Below are 21,755 nucleotides of genomic sequence, written 5' to 3' on the forward strand. Positions count from 1 at the left end.
CACCATGAATTTTCCTGGCTGGTCTCGAACTCCAGACCTCAGGTTATCTGTCCACCTCAGCCTCCCAAAGTGCTGTGATTACAGGCGTGAGCCACCGTGCCCAGCCTGGGGCACAAATCTTAACCTCATCAGGATATTCTGTCCAAACAAATGTATTTTGTTCTGTTTTATTTTTGAGTTTGTCCTTTTCTGTGCTCTGAAATTAGGATCTGGTCTAGTACTTAATTTGTATATTGTCAGTGCTCAATAAATAGTTAATGCTTGATTGTTTGCATAATAATTTGGAATAATGATTATCAGTGTAGAGTTTTAGCTGGATCATTAGAAAATGCACTTATGGCACTGTGATTTTAAGTGTTTCCTTGTTGTATCCACTGTTCAGTTAGCTCCTGCTTTCTCTTTTCTCCCTTTAATAATGACCGCCAACAAGGCCTTTTAAGCTAGGTTATGTATAGCCACAGGAATTTAGGAGAGGAGGAAAAGAAAAGTGGCAACTTCCAGGGGAACTCACCCTTTGAGCCATAGACTGTGGTTCTTAGAAGCCAGACCAGTCTCATTCTAAACACCTTCAGAATATTTTTAGTTTGAAGAAATTGGAAGGGCCTGGAGGCAACAGACAGCCAATATTCAGTGTTTATGTCTCATCCAGCTGTCTTCTGTCACTCTTCCTGCACAAGGTGACTTTTGACTTGACCGGTGTATCTTTGATACTTACTCATTTACAGAAATGTATAATGGATGTGTGTGTGTGTGTGTGTGTGTATGTGTGTATTTGTATTTTTATAGAGCTATTGACTTCTGCAATTTAACCTCTAAGATGAATTATCCAATAGAATTCTGAAATGAAAAGTTCACAGATTTTCAAGGTATTTTGGAGATTTAAAAATTGAAGAGAAGCTATGTGAATATTAAGTGTATGTTCCAGATATAATTGAACAATTGAAAGGAATGATCCTGGTTTAATTTATAATTAAGCTATACATTAATTTATAATGAAAACTTGTAATTAAATGATAACTCAAATTAGCCAAGAAAAAAGTATTTTTTAAAAGAAATTTGTACAGAGTAGTAATGATCTGGCTGCATTCTGTGAACAGATTATTCTCTGTTCATAATTTAGGCACCTTAAGATGCTGGCACCTTAAGGTAGGAACCATGACTTCTTTATATAAATAAACATCATAAAAAGCTCAGTACTTTTTACTCAGAGAGTGCTCACTAAATGTCAGCTGATGAGGAAAACATTCTCTGTGGAACTTGCTGTGAAATAACTACTCATGAGGCATATGCTGTATAAAGCTTGGTCAAAGTTTACAGTTTTCTTGGTGTCTTGACATCTGTGTTTAGATACTTGGTCAATCTTTAAATGAAGATAATTATATATAGCAAAGTTATATTTGGGAAACATTTCGGAATTTTGGAGACTGGCTATTAGTTTTTCTTAGAATAATCTAGAGAAAGATGAATCATTTTTCAGGAAAAATTGTTTAGAACTTTTATTGGGAATTCTGATTTCCTTAAAAGTATTTAAGATTTTTATCATGTACTATTGTTGTAGGAAAATCCTGGTTCTTGTCACACGCCCAGGAAAGATTAGGCTCACAGACACTTTGGAGGGTGAGGGGTTATGGAATTTATTGGTCAGAAAGAAAAAAGGAAAAACAACACAGCAAAGCAATAGGGGTTCATATTAACAGGCCCCCATCTCACAGATTGATTCCCAAGTTACCACCCCGAACAGGAGAGACCAGTCTCCTCCCTGCAAAGGGCGTGAACTTCTGTGGCTCCACCCCATTCTCCCAGTGTGCAGGCCATTTGGAGGTTCTCCAGGGACCCCTTTATACTTGGCTGTCCTGTCTCACTATGCAATATAAAACTTTCTCAGGTATGCTGTGCATTGTTTTTCATTCTTATTTTCTTTTGTGAATAATATCCTGGAATCAGTACGTTCTTCTACATCATCTCCTTTTCTTTTTTTGAACTCTTTTAAATTCTAGATTCTGCCCTCAGTATTCCACTTAAATCATTCTTATGAGAGCACCAGTAGTCTTCTAATTTAATCATGTGGCCTTTTCCAATTTTTCATGCTACTCTGACATGTGGCAGTATTGTCTGCCTCTGACTTCTTGATAATTCCTTGGCTTCTATTACATCACATCAACCTGGTTCTCCTTTTGAAACTGCCTTTGCAAAAGTTATATCTGAGAAAATTATGACACTGCCAGAGATATGACCTAGCCCACTCCCCTCCTCTTGCCTTTAGCTTTCAAGCTGCCTTAATCATTTCTGGGCTTAGGCCCAGATAACTTTGGGAGATAGTTTAAAGGATAATAAGCCTTCCCCAAAACTCAACTGCCTTTATAAAGCTAATGAAAGGCCCTCAGGCTTCAGGGGAGGACAGGAATCTGAGTTGTGCTAAGGTGTAGACGTATTAATAGATTGCCACTAGTGCACCAATAGTGGTGCAGATAACACCACTATTGTAGATTGGCCTTTTGAGATATCTTTTCAGGTTTTTTGCATGTCTGACACCCATGGCTCCAGCTGGACCTGCTAAACCACTCCTGTGGCCCCACCCAGGAATGGTTCCACTCAAGAGGACAACTTTGACCCCCTATTATTTCATCTTCAGCCCAATGAATTATCAGTAAGCACCCATTGCATAGCAATCCTCACCCTTTCCCCCAAACTGCTGTTGAAAAACTCCTATCCCATGAGCTGTGGATGAGATTGGTTTGAGTACTAACTCTATCTCCCATGTGGCTTTGCCGGCCTTGTGTTTATTAAACTCTTTCTTTACTGCAATGCTGTGGTCTTTCCTTGTGCAGCAGGCTGGAAGAACTCCTCAGGCGGTTATACTTTTGCCCATCCAACTGTCTTTTTTTCCACTTTCTTCTGTTTTTTTTTTGCATTTGTATTCCCCCAAGGTTCTGTTTTTAGCCTTCTACTCTTCTTTCTGTGTACTTGTATTCCTTCAGAAGATCATGTATTGTCTCTGTCTCTGTCTTGATTCCCCATCTCAATTTCCCACTGCTTGGAGGGCAGACACACTGCCATAGCTTCAACTTAACATACATAAAACAGAACTTAACACCATTTTCTCAAACTAGCACCCTTTCCTCCTGAATTTCTGCTTGTAGTGAATTATTATTCTTGTCTCCAAAGCTAGACACCATGGAATTGTCTTTGATGCCTTTCTCTACTTCTTTCGTATATATCTCTCTAAAATGTTTCCCAGCCATAGTGATTTCCTTGCCCTGCCTCTTGATTTAATGACCTCTACTCTCCTGCAATTTTAAGCACTAACCAGACCTACCTGGCTTTCCTTCTTAAACATGACCTACCTTATTTCTTACTGTTTACCATCCATACCTTCCTGAAGCTGTAGCACTCTGTGCTTTAATTATAGTCTCTTTAATGTGTCATAACGATTACTGTCACAATGATTGGCCTTTCTTCATGTGACTCTTGTTTTTGAAAAATCCTTCTTTTTCTTATCAATTTCTCTCTCACAACTCCTCCCATCCTCACCTTTCTCTGGAAAAATCCTTTAAGATCCAGCCCAACAGACTTCTTTGTGAAACTTTCCTCTACCTTCCCAGGGAGAATTAATGGTTTTTACTGTTTTCCCATATACTTGGTACATAGTCTGAACACAGAACTTCATGCTTTCTGTAATAGTTAGTGGTTTATGTGTCTGGCTTCTGCACTGGGACTGTGAACTCTTTGTAGGCAAGCACTGGATCCCATTTGCTGCATCTATCCTCACACACAGTGGCCACTCAAAGAATGTTTGTTAAATTGAAGATGTACTCAATAAATTAGCCAAGTCTCTTAACTTCCTTTCTGACCTTCCCTTCACGTCTCCTGTCTTCCTTGTCATCTTAGCCTTTAACCAGGCAGTTTTCCTTAAGCTGAAATGTCCTGTCTGTCCTCGTACCTTATCCCATTTCCAGTCATGCTTTGGGCCTTATTTCTTTCACATCATCCTGTATCCATCTTTCCTTTTCTGTGTGCTATCTAAAAATTCTCTCTAATAGCTTGTTGTATTTTAATTTTATGTCCCCCAGTTTTACTGGAAATTCCTAGCTGGCAAGAAATTTTTATTTTTAAAAAATCCAGACCACATTACCCAGTAGTTCTTTACTCTTTCCTATTCTGAGGGTCTGAGGCTGAATTTACTCATCCCAGGGTCCTTTTGGCTTCATTGCTGAATGAGTGACCAGTCTGAGTCCCATGAAAAGGTTCACTCTATATTTGTTGAATGGGCAACAACTTCAAATAAGTATAAATACTATAGTATGAGGCATATAAAATGGTAAATTGAATGCAACAGCACTGTAGTTCTTTTCTGCAAACACCTTTAACATTATTCAAGGGAAGCAATAAAGGCAAAGCGTAGTCATTTGTTGGATCACTTTTTATTTTGGAAACTTTTCAGCTGTTAAGTAACATATTAATATTTCTAGCCAACATTAATGCTCAGTTCTAGAACTGGTTATAGTACTCTAATTAAGGAACGCAGACCTGGGAATTCATACCTGATTCAGACACTTCAATCCTTACGTCAGTGTGTCTCTCTCTTACTCAGGTCTAAAACCAGTGAATCATTGTAAAAGTTAGTATTGGGGACTGTCTGGTACCATTGTTAATATTTTGGGCTGTGATGAAATGGCATGGATAGTTTCATCTGAAAATTTATTCAGATTTATGACCCAGTATTCATCACAACAATCTGAAAAACTCTTAAGAGGATAGAAATTGTATGACAAAGTGAGTCACAGTCTTTGTGATGTGATGTCTGCAAGGGTGGGTGGGAGAAATTACTGAATGACCAGTCTCATTCTACTCCTTTCTAAGCTGAATCATTTTGTAAATAGAAAACAATTCATAAGTTTTTAGGTGGCCTTACATCAATAGGAAATGGAAGAGATTAAAACGGTCAAATAATGCTTCCATTTAAAAAATTACTTTTGGAAACATATCACTTGATAAACACTTTGCTTTTGAATTAGAAATGCAAATAATCTTTCTACTGCCTGCTATATATCTTTTAATCCAATACTTGCTGCATGTCTTCATGTATTCTTACTTTTTCTATTAATTATGTTACTTTTCTTGCCTAGATTTTTTTTTTATTCTACCAAGTGTCATTTGACCTTTCGTCTTATAGCTATTTCTAGTGTTGGCTCATTTGGAGATGGGGTGTGTGTGTTTGTGTGTTGGGGAGAGGTGTCATTTACTCACTGGCTGGATGACTACTTGAATTGGATGGGGACTCAAGAGAAAAAGGTCCCTTTGATTTTGGAAATTCTGATTCTGGGATGGTATCATCTTGCATTTTGCATTGTGGGTCCTCTTCTGTTAACTTTTCATCTAAGCTTTTCTCCGAGTCATATTTTACCTTTAAATGTAAGACTTATTAACATTATTTCCTTATCTTCTTTGGGGTAAGGCATTTATTTAAAAAAAGCTAAGTGAAAAGAGAAATATTCTATTTTGAATGTGTTTCTAAGTGTTAGTTCTCCTTACATATTTATATATATCTACATTACTCTGAACTCAGTAATGGGAGTATAATTGAAGTGAGATTGGGAAGATAATTTTGTTAACTGTTTTAATTGAGTGTACTAATGTATAAAGACATAGACAGAAGGTGTTGGATTGAAAAATAACGAATTACAGAGACACCCTCAGCTGTTAAAGGATGAGAAAAGTGAGACATAGATTATTTTTTGGAGGGTGGTATGAAAGCCCTGAAGTATTCATGGGATCTGTCCAGCTCTGTCCAGACAATGAGGGAGACTGCCATGGTGACTAGGCAGAGTCCCTTTGCTCTGTGGTAGAGGAAGGGTCAGGTGTTTGGCCTTTACCACTGCACTATGTTCCTAGGACCCTGATATTTACCAAGTACTTATTGAATGAATGAGTGAGTGAAATTTTTGAGAACATGCTCTATGCCAGCTTTATAAATAATATCTGTTTAATCTTAAATACAAACTTATGAAGCAGGTGTTGTTATCTTCATTTGACAAGTAAGAAAATAGTTTTTTTCCTATTGGCTTTTCAAAACATGATCTCTTTGTCCATAACAACTGGTGATTGTGCATTCTAGACTTCTTAGTGTTTAGAATACAAGTTCATGGCCAGAATTCCGCATGGACAAACTAGCAGAAATTTGAACAGAAATAATGATTTAAGCAAATAATTTAAACTCTTTCAGAGGCTTTGCCATGTCCAGCAAAGTTGAAGTGTGTGCCATCTATTCCTCTGCCCCTTCGTCTATTCCACTCTCCTTTGTTTAGGAAAGACTTCTGTCATGATTTAGTATGAGACAATTCTTCTTTAGTATTTAAGGGCTTCTTAAGATTTTTGAGTGGCATATACAAAAATAGCGTAGCATGTAATTAAGAATGAATACCATACAGCCATGCACTGCATCATGATGTTTCGGTTAATTGCAGACCTCATGTATGATGGTGGTCCCATAGGATTATAATACTGTATTTTAACTGTATCTTTTCTATGTTTAGGTAACACAAATACTTAGCACCATGTTACAGTTACCTACAGTATTCAGTACAGTAATGTGCTGTACAGGTTTGCAGCCCGGGAGCAATAAGCTATACCATCATCTAGGATTGTGTAAGTACACTCTATGATGTTCACACAATGATGAAATTACCTAAGGATGCATTTCTCAGAATGTATCCCCATAGTTAAGTGACACATGATCATGTAACACAGTGGTATTTGTGTATTTAAGCATATCTAAACATTGAAAAGGTACAGTAAAAATATGACATTATAGTCTTATGGGACCACTGTCATAAAGATAACTAAAAGGATGTTTTCAAAGTATAGTTAGGCTCTTCCAGAAAAAATCGAGGGTATCTTTTCAGTATTTAAGGACATGTGGTGTAAGATTTTAAAACAACAACAACAACAACAAAAGCAGATGGGCTTGGGTTTAATTTTCTTCATTGAGTGAGATTGTCCATTAATCAATAATTTTCTGAGTGTCTACTATGTGAGGGAATAAAGACCAAGATAGATAAAGAGATACCAAGAAAGCATGTAGCAAGACACGTCCGGAAAAGTGTCTAAAAATTAAACTCCTCTTTCCTTTATTGACTCTCCTGTATTTTCAAATGGTATCACCATCTTCCTTGCCAACCAGGCCCAGGTGTTAGAGTGAATTTCTACTATGTCGTTTTCCCCACTCCTCACTTCTCTTCTCAGGCCCTGTCCATTTCATTTCTGCAGCACATTCACACTTGTGCCGGTCACTGCAATCTTGCTGCAGCTTGTCTAGTTCTAACCCTGACTACTGCAACTGCTGTCTAACTGAGCTCATCTGTATTAGTTTGCTAAGGCTGCCATAACAAACATACCACAGTCTGGGTGGCTCGAACAATAGAAATTTATCTTCTTATAGTTCTGGAGGCTGGAAGTCCAAGATCAGGTTTTGGCAGGTTTAGTTTCTTCCGAGGCCCCTCTCCTTGGCTTGTCGATGGCCACTCTCTAGCTGCCTCTTCACAAGATCTTTCCACTGTGCTTGTGTCTCTGTTGTCTCTTTGTATGTCCAGGTTTCCTCTTCTTATAAAGACCTCAGTCAGATTGGATGGGGGCTCACCCTGAAGGCTTCATTTTAACGTAATCACATCTTTAGAGGCCCCATCTGCAAACAGGAGCACATGCAGAGATAGTGGGATTAGAGCTTCAACATGAGTTCGGGGAACACAATTCAGCCCATAGTATCCCATAATAAAGGATGTTATTCTTTGCCAGAGTGAGTTAATTACTCTGTCTAGTTGTTCAGCAGTTGGACATTGTTTTTTCCTGAAGAGGAACTCTGATCATGTTACTTCTCAGAAACTCTCCTGGGCCCTTGCTTCCAAAACGCAAAAGAAAAGAAGGAATAATGGTCATGCCAAAAAAGGCCATAGCCACGTACAGCCTATTTGTGGCAGGAACTGTGCCCGATGCATGGCCAAGTACAAGGCTATTAAGAAGTTTGTCATTTGAAACATAGTAGAGGCTGCAGCTATCAGGTACGTTTCCAAAGCGAGTGTCTTTGACACCTCCGTGCTTCTCAAGTTGTATGTGAAGCTACATTGCTGTGTCAGTTGTGCCATTCATAGCAAGGTAGTCAGGAATTGATCTTGTGAAGCCCACACGAACCAAATACCCCGATCCCGATTTAGACCTGTGGGTGCTGCCCCACGACCTCCACTAAAGCCCAGGTAAGGAGCTGAGTCCTTAAGGTCTGAAGAAAAACTATCTTCTGGAAAAAAATAAAATGAAAATTGTATTTAAAAAAAGAGAAAAACATCGTGGACTTGAAAGACTTCAATCTCCTGGTACGCACATTGCCCCCAGAGCTCACAGATGTTTCAAGTCTGTAAAAATCAGAAAACATAGGAAAGTTACCAGCAGATGTGTGGTTGTCATAGATATAAAAAAGTGGGATACAGGGTGTTTTTGGAAACTCTAGGTAAGTAGTAAGCTTGATACAGATCTCTGAAAAAAACTCCAAGAGGTTTGAGAATACTGAAAAAGAAGATAACAGAGTAAGTAGTAACTAGGGTGCTACAATGGGAGAGTCATAATATATACATAGCCTTCGTGTGTTAATTTCCATGGAATATTTGACCGAATTTCTCATAGCAACCTTCTGTAAAAGATGTGTATTTTCTTCAAGAGAGTCTAGAGTTTTTCGTATTTAGGATTCTTAGGCCAGGCTCCAACAGCTAAATAAGTTTTATTGGCACACAGCCACCCTCTTTGTTTAAACATTGTCTGTGGCCACTTTCACACTACAATGGCAGATACCCCTCAAGGTGTAAAATATTTACTTCCTGGCCCTTTACCCCAGAAAATGTGCTGACCCCTGGCTTAGGCCATATTTTTCATGAGGAGTGGACACTCCTTAGTCATGGCATTTCTGCTATTCCGCACTATTACATTTAATACTAATTTCCTGACACTTGATGTCAGAAACTGTATAATATTGTCTATGGCTTTTATGGATATTCCTCCAACCTTTGGACAGGAATTGTTATTTCCAGGCTGATCTCTTATTTAAAAATGTATTTATTAATGATTTAATATCACTTTTAATAAACTGGAATTATGCTTTTCCTCTAAAAGAAAAAAAATAAAGGTGATATAGATGCATTATCATAATCTAAAACTATTTTAATAGACAGCTGATCCTATTTTCCAATTACTAGTAAAACGTCATGCTTCAGATGATTATGCTAAACCAAAGTTATGTTTTTTGCTAGACCGTCCACCCAACTTTTAACAGCAAAGTAACTAATTCCTGTGTAGCAGGAAAATTCACTTAGTTATTTCCATATATATTTTGCAACTCAACTAATTTTTCTTGGAAGATACTGCAGGAAGTTACATTATTCAAAGTTAGATATTCTCTGTTTTAGTGAAATTTTAAAAAATTAACAGTTTGGATATTTGGTTACACCTACTTTGAATATTTTCCTCACTTAAATTATTTTTGGCTATGCTTAATGATGTAGAACTGTAGAGCTTTTATGTTAAAGAATTCTGGAGAATATTGGCTCTGCCCATGGGTATCACTCCAGAAGTGGATGAATGTTCCTGTTGGATTCCTCTCTTTTTCTAGAAGAAGCCTAATGCCCACCATGGCTGACAGTTAAAGCACACAGTTCTGCTCTCTAGGTTAGGTAGGACAGACAGCAGAACCTTTCTAAAGACCTGTTGGGGGAAATACTATTTATGGAAGCCTGCCTCAACGATGTATGGAGTGCATCTTTCCTCCAGACAGAGAGTTTTAACCTGGGAGTTCATGGATTTGCTTTAGGTTTCCCTTAAAAATAGATGCAAAATGCTAGGTTGTTTTTCTGAGGAGAGGGTGCATAGCATTTTGTCAGATTCTCAAAAGGTTATCTGTGGTCCAAAATGTTAAGGACAGTATCACTAGAAACACTAAAATATGTCTTTTAATTAATCTGACATCTGGGAGAGAACCAATTTGAACCACATGACAGTGAAAATGAGTTTACTGAATTGTGTGTTGGGGTGAAACTTTAGTTTATGGTGAGTGATTTTGTGAGAAACATCTCTGTGAAGCTCGTCTCTGTGTATAATTAACAGAAACATTAAAGAAATGTTGAGGACTGTTGTTGATCTCATTACATAGTGTCCACTCTGAGGTTCCTTAGGAGAAACTTCTCTGTGGTAACTATGTTGGGTCTAGTTATGCTTTTCCTTAGCAGCCAGCTTATTTTTATCTTATGGTCTCTGGGAAATTTCTTATTGCTGCTGGCTACTAGAAAGCCAAATATATGGCCTGCTTCTAGCAAGTATAATAATCTCACTCCTGGCTTCATCAGTTTTAAACCCTTCATTTGTATTTGCCTTATTAAAAAGCCATTTTTAAAGTTTTTTGTTTTGGTATATTGTCAATATCTTTGTAACTCACCTTAAATATTACTTGGGATCAAACACATTATACCTCAATAAAAATAATATATTGATTAATTTGCTATTTTTAACCACAAAGTACCACTATATTATACAGAGCATTGGGTGCTGGAGATGAAAAAGTCAAGGCCCTTGTCCCTTAAAATGTGTTTTGTTTGGCACGACAAGAAAGAGATATAAATCAATAAGGGCAATAAAATGTTTTGCCTGCTTTGCTTGTGGTGTTTTCCATGGGACAGTGAGATCATAGCAAGGATAGCAGTAAGTTCTAATGGGGAAGTCATAAAAGGCTTCAAACAGGAGTGACACTGAACAGAATGTTTGGAATCAAGTAGATGTTTGCCAGGCAGACAGGGCGGGGAAGGGCAGGAAGGCCAAGGAGGCAGGGCCAGGTCTGGCATGTTTTGGGAACCAAAAGAAGTTTGGAATGGCAAGAAGTAAGACCTGCTAGCTAGGCAGGGACTGGATTATGATGGGCCTTGCAAGCCATACTGAACAATTCGTCTTTATCCTAGAAGTGGTGGGGAGTCAATGGAGGGTTTTAATCAGAGAATAAGAGGATTAAATTTGGGCTTTGATGAGATCACTCTGGCGGGTGTGTGTAATAGATTGGAGGGTGTGAAGCTGGCGGCAGGGAGTACAGTTAGGAAATGATTTCAGTTATCCAATTGAGAAATGTAAATCTCTCTCAGACTATTTTCCTGAACATAGTAAGTGATGTATGGACATATCTTCAAAGAAGATATTGTGGGTTTGGTTCCAGACCACCGCAATAAAGTAAATATCACAATAAAGCGAGCCACATAAACTTTTTGGTTTCCTAATGCATATGAAAGCTATGTTTACATTGTACTGTAATCGGTTAAGTGTACAGTAGCATTATATATGTTAAAAAACCAATGTATAAACTTCGTGAAAAGATACTGTATTTTTAAAAAATGCTAATGATCATCTGAGCCTTTAGTGAGTCGTAATTGTTCTGCTAGTATAGGATCTTGCCTCAGTGGATGGCTGCTGACTGATGAAAGTGGTGGTTGTTGAAGGTTAGGGTTGCTGCGGCAATTTCTTAAAATAAGACAACAGTGAAATTTGCGGCATCAGTTGACTTATCCTATCACGAAAGATTTCTCTGTAGCATGAGATGCCATTTGATAGCATTTTACCTACAGTAGAACATTTTTCAAAATTAGAGGCAAACTCTTCAAACCCTCCTGCTGCTTTATTAACTAAGTTTATGTAATATTCTAAATCCTTTGTGGCCATTTCAACAATACATATAGCATCTTCACCAGCTGTAGATTCTATCTCAAGAAATCACTTTCTTTGTTCTTCCCTAAGAAGCAGCTCCTCATCTGTTTAAGTTTTATCATCAGATTGTAGCAAGTCAGTCACATCTTCACGCTTCACTTCAAATTCTAGTTCTCTTTCTATTTTTGTCCCATCTGCAGTTACTTCTTCCACTGAAGGTTTGAACCCCCTCAAAGTCATCATGAGGGTTGGAGTCAACTTCTTCCAAACTCTTAGTAGTGTTAATATTTTGACTTCCTCCCATGAATCACAAATACTCTTGATGGCATCTAGAATTGTCAGTTATTTCCAGAAGGTTTTCTTTCTTTCTTTTTCTTTTTTTCTTTCTTTCTTTCTCTTTTTCTTTCTTTCTTTTTCTTTCTTTCTTTCTTCCTTCCTTCCTTCCTTCCTTCCTTCCTTTCTTTCTTCCTTTCTTCCTTTCTTTCTTTCTTTTTTTTTGACTGGGACCTACTCTGTCACCCAGGCTGGAGTACGGTGGTATAGTCATGGCTCCCTGCAGCCTTGATCTCCTGGAATCAAGTGTTCCTCCCACCTCAGCCTCCTGAATAGCTGAGACTACAGGTATGCACCACCACACCCAGCTATTTTAAAAATTTTTTGTAGAGACAGGGTCTCACTATGTTACCCAGTCTGGCCTTGAACTCCTGGGCTCAAGCCATCCTTCTGCCTTGGCTTCCCAAAATTTTGGAATTACAGGCATAAGTTACCATGCCCAGCCTCCAGAAGGTTTTCAATTTACTTTACCCAGATCCATTGGAGGAATTACTATCTATGGCAGCTATACCCTTACAAAATACATTTCTTAAATCTTAAGACTTAAAGTAGAAATTACTTCTTGAACCATCGGCTGCAAAATGGATGTTGTGTTAGCAGGCATGAAAATGTTAACCTTGTACCTCTCCATCAAAGCTCTTGAGTGACTAGCTATGTTGCTAGCCAACAGTATTCTTTTGAAAGGGATGTTTTTTTTGAGCAGTAGTCTCAAAAGTGGGTTTAAAATATTCAGTAAACCACGATGTAAACAGATGTGCTGTCATCCAGGCTTTGTTATTCCATTGATAGGGCACAGGCAGAGTAGATTTAGCATAATTCTTAAGGCCCTGGGATTTTCAGAATGGTAAATGAGCATTGGCTTCCACTTAAAGTCGCCAGCTGCATTAGCCTCTAACAAGAGAGTCAGCCTGTCCTTTGAAGCTTTGAAGACATGCGTTGACTTCTCCTCTCTAGCTGTGAAAATCCTAGATGGCATCTTCTTCCAAGAAAAGGCTGTTTTGTCCACATTGAAAATCTGTTGTTAGTGTAGCTACCTTCATCAGTGATCTTAGCTAGATCTTCTAGATAACTTGCGCTAGCTTCTACATCAGCACTGTCTGTGTTACCTTGCATGTTTATGTTATGGAGATGGCTTGTTTTGTTAAACCTCATGAACCAAGCTCTGCTAGCCTCCAACTTTTCTTCTGTAGCTTCCTTACCTCTCTCAGCCTTCATAGAACTGAAGAGTTAGGGCCTTGTCTTGTATTTGGCTTTGGCATGAGGGAATGTTGTGGCTGTTTGGATCTTCTATCCAGACCACTCAAACTTTCTCCATATCAGCAATAAGGCTGTTTTGTTTTCTTATCATTCTTGTGTTCACTGGAGTAGAACTTTTCATTTTCTTCAAGAATTCTTCTTTTGCAGTCACAACGTGGCTGTTTGTGGCAAGAGGCCTAGCTTTTGACCTATCTCGGCTTTCAACATGCCTTCTCCACTAGGCTTAATCATTTCTAGATTTTGATTTAAAGTGAAAGACAATGAGACTCTTCCTTTCACTTGAACACTGAGAGGCCATTGTAGGTTTACTAATTGGCCTAACTTTAATATTGTTGTGTCTTAGGGAACAGGGAGGCCCTAAGAGTGGTGGAGACAGGGGAACATTCGTCAGTGGAGCAGTCAGAACACACACGTTTATTAAGTTTGCTGTCTTATATGGGTGTAGTTTGTGGTCCCTCAAAACAATTACAGTGGTAACATCAAAGATTACTGATCACAGATCACCATAATACATGTAATAATAATGAAAAAGTTTGAAATATTGCGACAATTACCCAAATGTGAGACAGACATGAAATGAACACATGCTATTTGAAAAAGGTCACTGATAGACTTGCTCGATGCAGGATTTCCACGAAACTTTAATTTTTAAAAATCATAGTATCTGTGAAGAGCAATAATGCAAATCACAGTAAAACAAGGCATGCCTGTATATGTGCAAGAATGGAAGGGTCTCCATTTTATTAAGTGAAATAAGGAAACTATTGAATAATGCTGAAAATATTAGTCCATTTATGAAAATGCACACACACCAACACAAGATATATACTTGTGTAGTAAATAGGAAGACTGAGATCTGAAAAGGATGTATACCTAACTGCTAACAAGTGCTTACAGCTTTAGAGAAAGGAATGGGATTAAAAGAGACGAGATCAAGGGGAATGGTCACTTCTTTACCTATGTATTTGTGAATTTTTTAAAAGAATGTATCCATGTATTATTTATGCAAAATTTTCTGAGAAGAATGAATGGGAAGTGAGGAAGTGGATGCAGATGTTGAATACTTTTCTCTGAGGTGCATGAATGTGAAGGGAAGGAGAGAGATAGGATAGCAGCCAGAAGAAGTTCCTGTTTCGGGAAACACTTGTGGACTGGGGTTTTTTGCCGTCAGTCACACGATGGATGCACGGGTGGGCTGTGGAGCACTCCTGGGAAGGGGGCATGGTCAGGCCTGTGCCCGCGCATTACAAGGGGCGCATTCCTCACTCATTCATCTGCCCCTTGGCTTATTTCTTTTCAAGTCCCACACAGAGAAGCAAGGCCTTGATCATTATCAGCACAACTGCTTTACTTTCCTTCAGGAAATGATACTTAATTAGTATTTGAAAGCAGTACATTATCTTGAATTCACTGTCTATTCTAAGGCAAAGCACACCAAAAATCTAAAATCAAATATATTCTCCATGATGTATTTACTTTTCTAAGGTGAGAGAATTATAACCGTATTCTTTGGGAATGTCCTCTTATACTCACGGAACAATGACTTGGGAGAGACAGGAAAGGCCTGGATCAGAACACAGAGGACTAGATTAAGCTTAATGGAAGCTAGGAGTCTGTGGAGTGGGAGTGCTACAGGTGTATCTTGGACTGACCCCATGGACTGGGTTTGGTCTATGAGCAGCAGTATTCACTGGAAGTCAACCTGGCTTTGGAGTCTCATCACAGAGGATGACCTTGCTATGTGGAATAGGCTGCCTGGGGCTGGGACTGATGACCTGATGACCTAGCAACTCGATTTTTAGGAGGCTTGTTTCAGTCTGGGCTTTCCAGAGAAACTGAATGAATAGGAGATCACTCTATCTATCTATCTATCTATCTATCTATCTATCTATCTGTCTATCTAATCTATCTATCTACCTACCTACCTAGAGGGATTTATTTTAAGGAATTGGCTCATGTGATTACAGAGGCTGGCAAGTCCAAGTCCAGGCCAGCAGTCTGGAGACCCAGGGCAAAGCTAATGTTGTGGTTCAAGACCAAAGGCCGTCTGCTGGCTGAATTCCTTCTTGCTGGAGGAAAGCAGCCTTTTGTTCTATTCAGGCCTTCAACTGATTTGATGTGGGCCCCCCACAATATGGAGGGCAATCTACTCTACTCAAAGTCCACTGATTCAAATGTAAATTTCATTCTAAAACACCCTTACAGAATCATCCAGAATAATGTTTGACCTAATAGCTGGGCACTATGGCCCAGCCAAGCTGACACATAAAATTAACCATCACAAGGCATTTGTTGACATAAACCCTAGACTGGCCTGACTGTCCAAAGAGGGTGGTGAATAAGCCCTGGCTTGGGTAAGACCAACTTATTCACTATGATGCCCCAAGGACACGGGTCAGAGACTTCCTAACAGAGGTACTAGACTGGCCTCCTGTTGACACTGAGAGGTTCAGTTTTGCTTTGAGCCTCAGCTCAACACTGAGACCCTAAGGAGTCTCCTTCTTCCATGGCTAGTGCCTTCCAGGGGCACATGGAGTCCAGGTTCTTTCTTCTGGTTTCTCTTGTCTTTCCCCTGAGGTGTGTGGGTTAGTTTTTCTTCTTCAGGATTTCTGAAAATAGGAATAATAATCTTATTCCAGAAGAAAGGACATAATTATGTTAAACAAAAAGGGAACATTCCCAACTTGATCACAGTGATCGTGATGTGGAGATGTTGTGGGCTGCTGTTGCCTGTATTCTGGAGACTTGTGGTCACAGCAGTAAACAATTGCTGCTGGGCCTGTTGTCTGTCAGCTGCCATCTGCTCCAAAGCACCCCCTACTCTTCGCTTGTCCCTTTAGTTGACCTGGGCCTCAGAGCCTGTTTCTGAGGATATGGGCCACAGAGGGGAATTGAGGCTGCAGGCTGATTACATAGCACTGGTGGTAGTTTCTTTTAAAGTCATGTTCTGATCTGTGGTTGCAAATGTCTGCTGCTTCTGTCAGAGCATTATTCCCCTTTCATGTGGAAGAAAACTGCCATTGATTAGAAGCAGGAGTATCATCGTCAGTAGAAGCACTTGTGCTTTAGGTTCTTTGAGCCTCATGAGAGGTCCAAGATGACACTGAAGTAAAGGAAGGTGGATACCAGATGCCTTGGCTACTTTTTAGAATACATCACTGGCACTGCTAGGAGAGAGCTGGGATTCATGAGAGTGGGATTAGGTGCTGGGCCAGGAGCAGAGAGTGTTCTTTGTACTGTGGATCTCCCTTACTTGCTTCCTGGACAACTGGCTCTTCCGGACTGGGTCTCTTGGTCTATCCTTGTGTCCTTAGGGGCAAGGTGCTTCTCCACTTTGAAGCTAAAACACCATATCAGAATCCTACCAAATACATAGACATTTTAACATGCAGCAAAACAATAAAATCTCTTTGGTGGCTTAGTTGCTATAGAAAAAGACAAATGTTCCCAACCAAAGTGCCCATCAATGATAGACTAGATAAAGAAAATGTGGCACATACATACCATGGAATACTATGCAGCCACAAAAAGGATGAGTTCATGTCCTTTGCAGGGAAATGGATGAAGCTGGAAACCATCATTCTCAGCAAACTAACACAAGAACAGAAAACCAAACACCACATGTTCTCAGTCATGAGTGGGAGTTGAACAATGAGAACACATGGACACAGGGAAGGGAACATCACACACCAGGGCCTGTCAGGGGGTGGGGGGCTAGGGGAGGGATAGCATTAGGAGAAATACCTAATGTAGATGACGGGTTGATGGGTGCAGCAAACCACCATGGCACGTGTATACCTGTGTAACAAACCTGCACGTTCTGCACATGTATCCCAGAACTTAAAGTAAAATAAAAAAAAAAAGACAAATGTTCTACTAAATGGTGAGCTTAGCTTGGCTAGCACAGTGTGGGTAGATACATTTTAAGGTATAGGAACATTGAGGGACTTCATGTCTGTGATATTCAGTAATTTCTTTGAAGTAGGAGGGAATGCTGTCTCTGAGAGAGTTGTGACTGCTGGCTGGGTAGCCTTAGAGCATGGTGTAGAGAATAGGAAAGGAAATTAACCAGGGATATGCCCAAGTGGCTAACACTTGCTGAGGGCCCACTTGAGGCTGGAGACCTCATATTGCTAATAACACCAGTTTGGATGAATGTATCATTTCCAGAACATTGTGTATGTTGAACATTGTGTATGTTCAACAATGTATGTTCAAGAATGCAGAAGCTGGCTGGGCGCGGTGGCTCACGCCTGTAATCCCAGCAATTTGGGAGGCCAAGGTGGGTGGATTGCTTGAGCTCAGGAGTTTGAGACCAGCCTGGGCAACATGGCAAAACCTCATCTCTACTAAAAATACAAAAATTAGCTGGATGCAGTGGCACATGCCTGTAATCTCAGCTACTTGGGAGACTCAGGCACAAAAATTGCTTGAACCTGGGAGGCGGAGGTTGCAGTGAGCCAAGATTGCACCACTGCACTCCATCCTGGGCAACAAAGTGAGACTCTGTCTCAAAAAAAAAAAGAAAAAAAAAAGATACAGTAAAAGTTGTGAGTTGAGCAAAATGTTATATATTTGTTTCTGGTCTTGGAACAATGTACTTGGGAGGGCCAGACTCCTTTCTCTGCCTGAGATAAGAGATTTCGATTCAGAGCATCTTAAACAGAATTAATTTCTGTGCCTTAAACTTTTCCTTATTCTTCCAGAAATAACATTGAGCGATGGTGGATGACTTTATAGATGTCTGATTTTTTTCTTCTCTTACATAGCCTCATATATTTTTTGGAGGAAGCAGAAAGAAAAAAATTAAGTCATGGGAGCAGACAGGATAAGGGAAGTAGAAAGTAGAAGAGGGAAAGGAAGAAAGAGAAAAAAACAAAAACAAAATAAAGTGAGAACAAGCAAGAGAAGATTTAGGTTGAAACAGACATTCATATTCAAAACTCCCAAGTAGCTAGTTGTATGGGACTCTTAGCGCTCTCTTCAGAGAGCGGTTCCAAATCTCACAAGAAGAAGGGAGCAAAAAAACCAACATGACCAGTTTTTTGTGGCACAGGGGAAGGAAACACATTCAATAGTTGTGATTTTAGGCTTCTTTTTTGGGATGGAAGTGTCAGTACTGGAGCCAGAAACTATTTCCTTTACTACCTGTGTACTTGCTTTTATGACGCTTAGAAAATGTATACACTATAGCTATTAACTATGTCTTTTTAGTGTAAGAAATAAGAACACATAGTATAAGAAGACTTTCTTTGGGGAGAGAAGACTTCTTGGTATTTTCATCCATTCCCCTACTTCCCCTGCTCCCCCATCCTTGCATCCAACCAATTGCTTGGATCAAAGCACAATTTTAGTATTATTTCAACCTGCTATGTCTTGTTGGATGGCAAATGAAGAGATAACAGAGTGGCATGCTTCAAAGGGGCAGTGTGGTTCAGCATTCAGCAAAAGAAGAGGATTAGGACTGCTGATCTTGACCCTAGATTGCTGGGTAACTTTAAGGCAAAACAATTTACCAACCTGTGACCCAGATTTCTTATCTTTAGCAGAGAAGTCCAGACTAGATGATTTCTCAGGGCCAAATTTTAAGGATTTTTGACTCAAATTCTGCTGGAGGTTCAGTTTTTGGGGAAGGCTGATAATATCATTAGAAGTAGGTATGGCCAATAGAAAAGAGTATAATCCCAGAAAAGAGGGTACTTCACACCAGCTCTGTCACTGGAGATGGTCAGAGACTGTTTAACAACCCTTTGATCCTAAAGCAAATAGGCATGTGAAGCTAAATTCTGTTAGCCGAAATATGGCTTAAATGTGGCTCTAGTAGATAGTGTTGTGAGTTTTAAAGTATATAGATAGAATGACAAGCAGGAACTGACTGTCTAAATAGGGGCTAGAATTGATTTCTTAGCTAGAATGTGTTGAACAGCTATTATTAAAAGTAGAGAAAATGCAAAAGTGCAATCATGTGGCTTTTCTTCCTGGCCCTAACCCTAGCCTCAGCCCTTTCTTTCTTTCTTCTCATTTCTCTGGTGAGCTCATTCTCACAGTTTCATCTTTCACATATGTGCAGGTAACAGGTAGACTTGGGTTTATGTCTCAGCTGTGCCTTACTAATTCTATGCTCTTGGGTAAGTTAATTTATTTAAATATTAGTTTCCTCATCTATTATATAGGGATACTAGCTGATAATAGCTACTATGTTGGTATTGTTGTGATGATTAACATGATAATATAGGCAGTGTGTTTAGGATAGTACTGTCAAATAATAAGTAACCATTTTACTGTTATTTATTATTCCTAAATCTCTCAAAGCTTATATCTTATCTGTCCTCCACTGCTTCAGTTGTCTATTGCTGTGTAACAAACATCTCAAAGCTGTGTGGTCTAAAATAGTGATTTTATATTTTATGATTCTGTGGGTTGGCCTGGGTGCAACTGCATAGTTCCCCTGGTATAATTTAGAATGTGTCATGCAGCTGCAGTCAAGTGGTCACGGGGACAAGAATATCTGAAATGGCTTTACTTACATGTCCAATACCTTAGCAGGGATAACTGGAATCCTAATGATATCTTTCTCCAGGTGCTGTCTCTCTCAGGTTAGCTTGGGCTTTTTCAGTGGCTGGATCTCAAGAGGAAAGGGTTCCAAGAGAGCAAGCTCCATTGTGTAAGCCGCTGTTTGCATCCTGTTTGCTAATATCAAAATTGCCAATGTCACATCAGTCAACATGTCTAGGACTAGATTCAGTTTGGGAAGAGCTACAGAAGATATAAATATCAGGTGGTGTGGTACATTGGAGCCACCAAAATAAGTCTGCCATCAGATAAACAATTAATTCCTCGCTTTTATGAGCATGGAATTGGTGCTAGATCATAAACTGACTATCCTCATTTTACCAACTTTCCCTTAATTGTTTTCTGTGTCAGTTTTTCATATTTCCAAGTTGAAACCCCCTAAACACAACATTTTTTTCCACTGCTCATTTTTTACCAAAATTCAAACTTCATGAAACCCTGGCATTTCATCCTTTGCCTTCCATCCTCATGGCCACCATCAAAGTCCACATCTTTATTATCTTACATGTGAACAGCTGTAATAACCTTTCCAGTTATTAATTCTTTAAACACCACTTTTAGCCTGATGCATTTCTTTTCAAGAACCTACGGTATGTTTATAGTCCAGATTGCATTAAACCTAACCTTTCTGTTATAGGGCCCTTTTCTGAGGCCTTATTTATCTTGCTCTGCACCATTTATATAACTATTTTCTGGCTGAGCACAGTGGCTCATTCATGTAATCCCAGTACTTTAGGAGGCAGAAGCAGGTGGATTGCTTGAGCTCAGGTGTTGGAGACCAGCCTGGGCAACATGGCAAAATGCCATCTCTACCAAAAATACAAAAATTAGCCAGGTGTGGTGGTGGGTGCCTGTGGTCCCAGCTACTTGGGAGGCTGAGGCAGGAGGATTGCTGGAGCCAGGGAAGTTGAGGCTGCAGTGAGCCATGATCATGCTACTGCACTCCAGCCTGCATGACAGAGTGAGATCCTGTCTCAAAAATAAAATAAAGTGAAATAAAAATAAAAACTATTTTTTACTATTGTATGCCCTCCACCCTCCAGAATCAGAGTGTGATGAGGCAAGTTATTTAATAAGAGAGTTTTAAGTTCATGTATATTATAAATATCTTAACACACAGAGGGGAACAGAGGAGACAATGCTGAGGTAGAGTAAAAACCCTGAAGACAAGATGTAAGGAGGAAGGGATTTTGTTGTTGCTATTTGTACTTTTGAGAATTAGGAAGGAGGGAAAAGGGGAATCAGGAAATATTTCAGGGAGTTAGAAATTAGATCCCCTTCACGGAATTCCCCAATATTTAAACATCTTGAACTGTCTTTTGTTCACCACACTACTCCTGCTGCACTTGGGTTACGCATCCATACCCACGTGGTCTGTTTTTGTAGTTGTTACTGGAATGGTGCGAGGGTGTATATACTAATGCTGTGCTTGATACTCAATGAGTGCTTCATAAATGCTTGCTGGATGAAGAATATAAGCAAAACTTACCTAATTCCTTATCTTTTATAAACTAAAATGGACAATATTGATAGGAGTTAAATGAAAGAATGAACGTTCTTATATATTAAATGGAGAGAGATGCAGAATGCAGTTTTGTTAATTATCTTCACTATTAAAAATAGACATTTGTAAAGCATCAGTATATGTGCTGTATTTGCTGCGTCTAGAGAGGAGCTGGGATGGATGAAGGCTTAGCTGGTTATACTGCACAATGAGAGTACCTGTTTCTTCTGTAGATAGAGCATAGAAGATATACTAGGAACATGGGGAAAAGCCATTATATATTTTCTTTTTTAGATCTGCAAGCCTTTTGGATGTGAGAAGATTTTTTAAAAGGACATTAAAAAATAGCTTCTTTTTCACATAAGGATAC

General features: G+C 39.3%; 1 protein-coding gene and 1 pseudogene across 2 annotated transcripts in view, besides 2 other annotated features; both read left to right on the forward strand.

Annotated features, from left to right (window-relative positions):
- Positions 1 to 21,755, forward strand: part of FGF2 (fibroblast growth factor 2) — a 71,555-nt gene that overhangs the window by 5,759 nt on the left and 44,041 nt on the right. The gene's annotated exons all lie outside the window — the stretch shown is intronic.
- Positions 7,909 to 8,250, forward strand: RPS26P23 (ribosomal protein S26 pseudogene 23; annotated as a pseudogene).
- Positions 14,031 to 14,544: an enhancer, noted in NCBI's record as "H3K4me1 hESC enhancer chr4:123767626-123768139 (GRCh37/hg19 assembly coordinates)". NCBI's record gives its function as "activates a minimal SCP1, AML or CMV promoter by ChIP-STARR-seq in naive H9 embryonic stem cells {active_cell/tissue: H9 hESC(naive)}" and the evidence as "EXISTENCE:reporter gene assay evidence [ECO:0000049][PMID:30033119]".
- Positions 14,545 to 15,057: an enhancer, noted in NCBI's record as "H3K4me1 hESC enhancer chr4:123768140-123768652 (GRCh37/hg19 assembly coordinates)". NCBI's record gives its function as "activates a minimal SCP1, AML or CMV promoter by ChIP-STARR-seq in naive H9 embryonic stem cells {active_cell/tissue: H9 hESC(naive)}" and the evidence as "EXISTENCE:reporter gene assay evidence [ECO:0000049][PMID:30033119]".

This window comes from Homo sapiens, chromosome 4, assembly GCF_000001405.40.
Source record: "Homo sapiens chromosome 4, GRCh38.p14 Primary Assembly".
Lineage (NCBI taxonomy): Eukaryota > Metazoa > Chordata > Mammalia > Primates > Hominidae > Homo > Homo sapiens.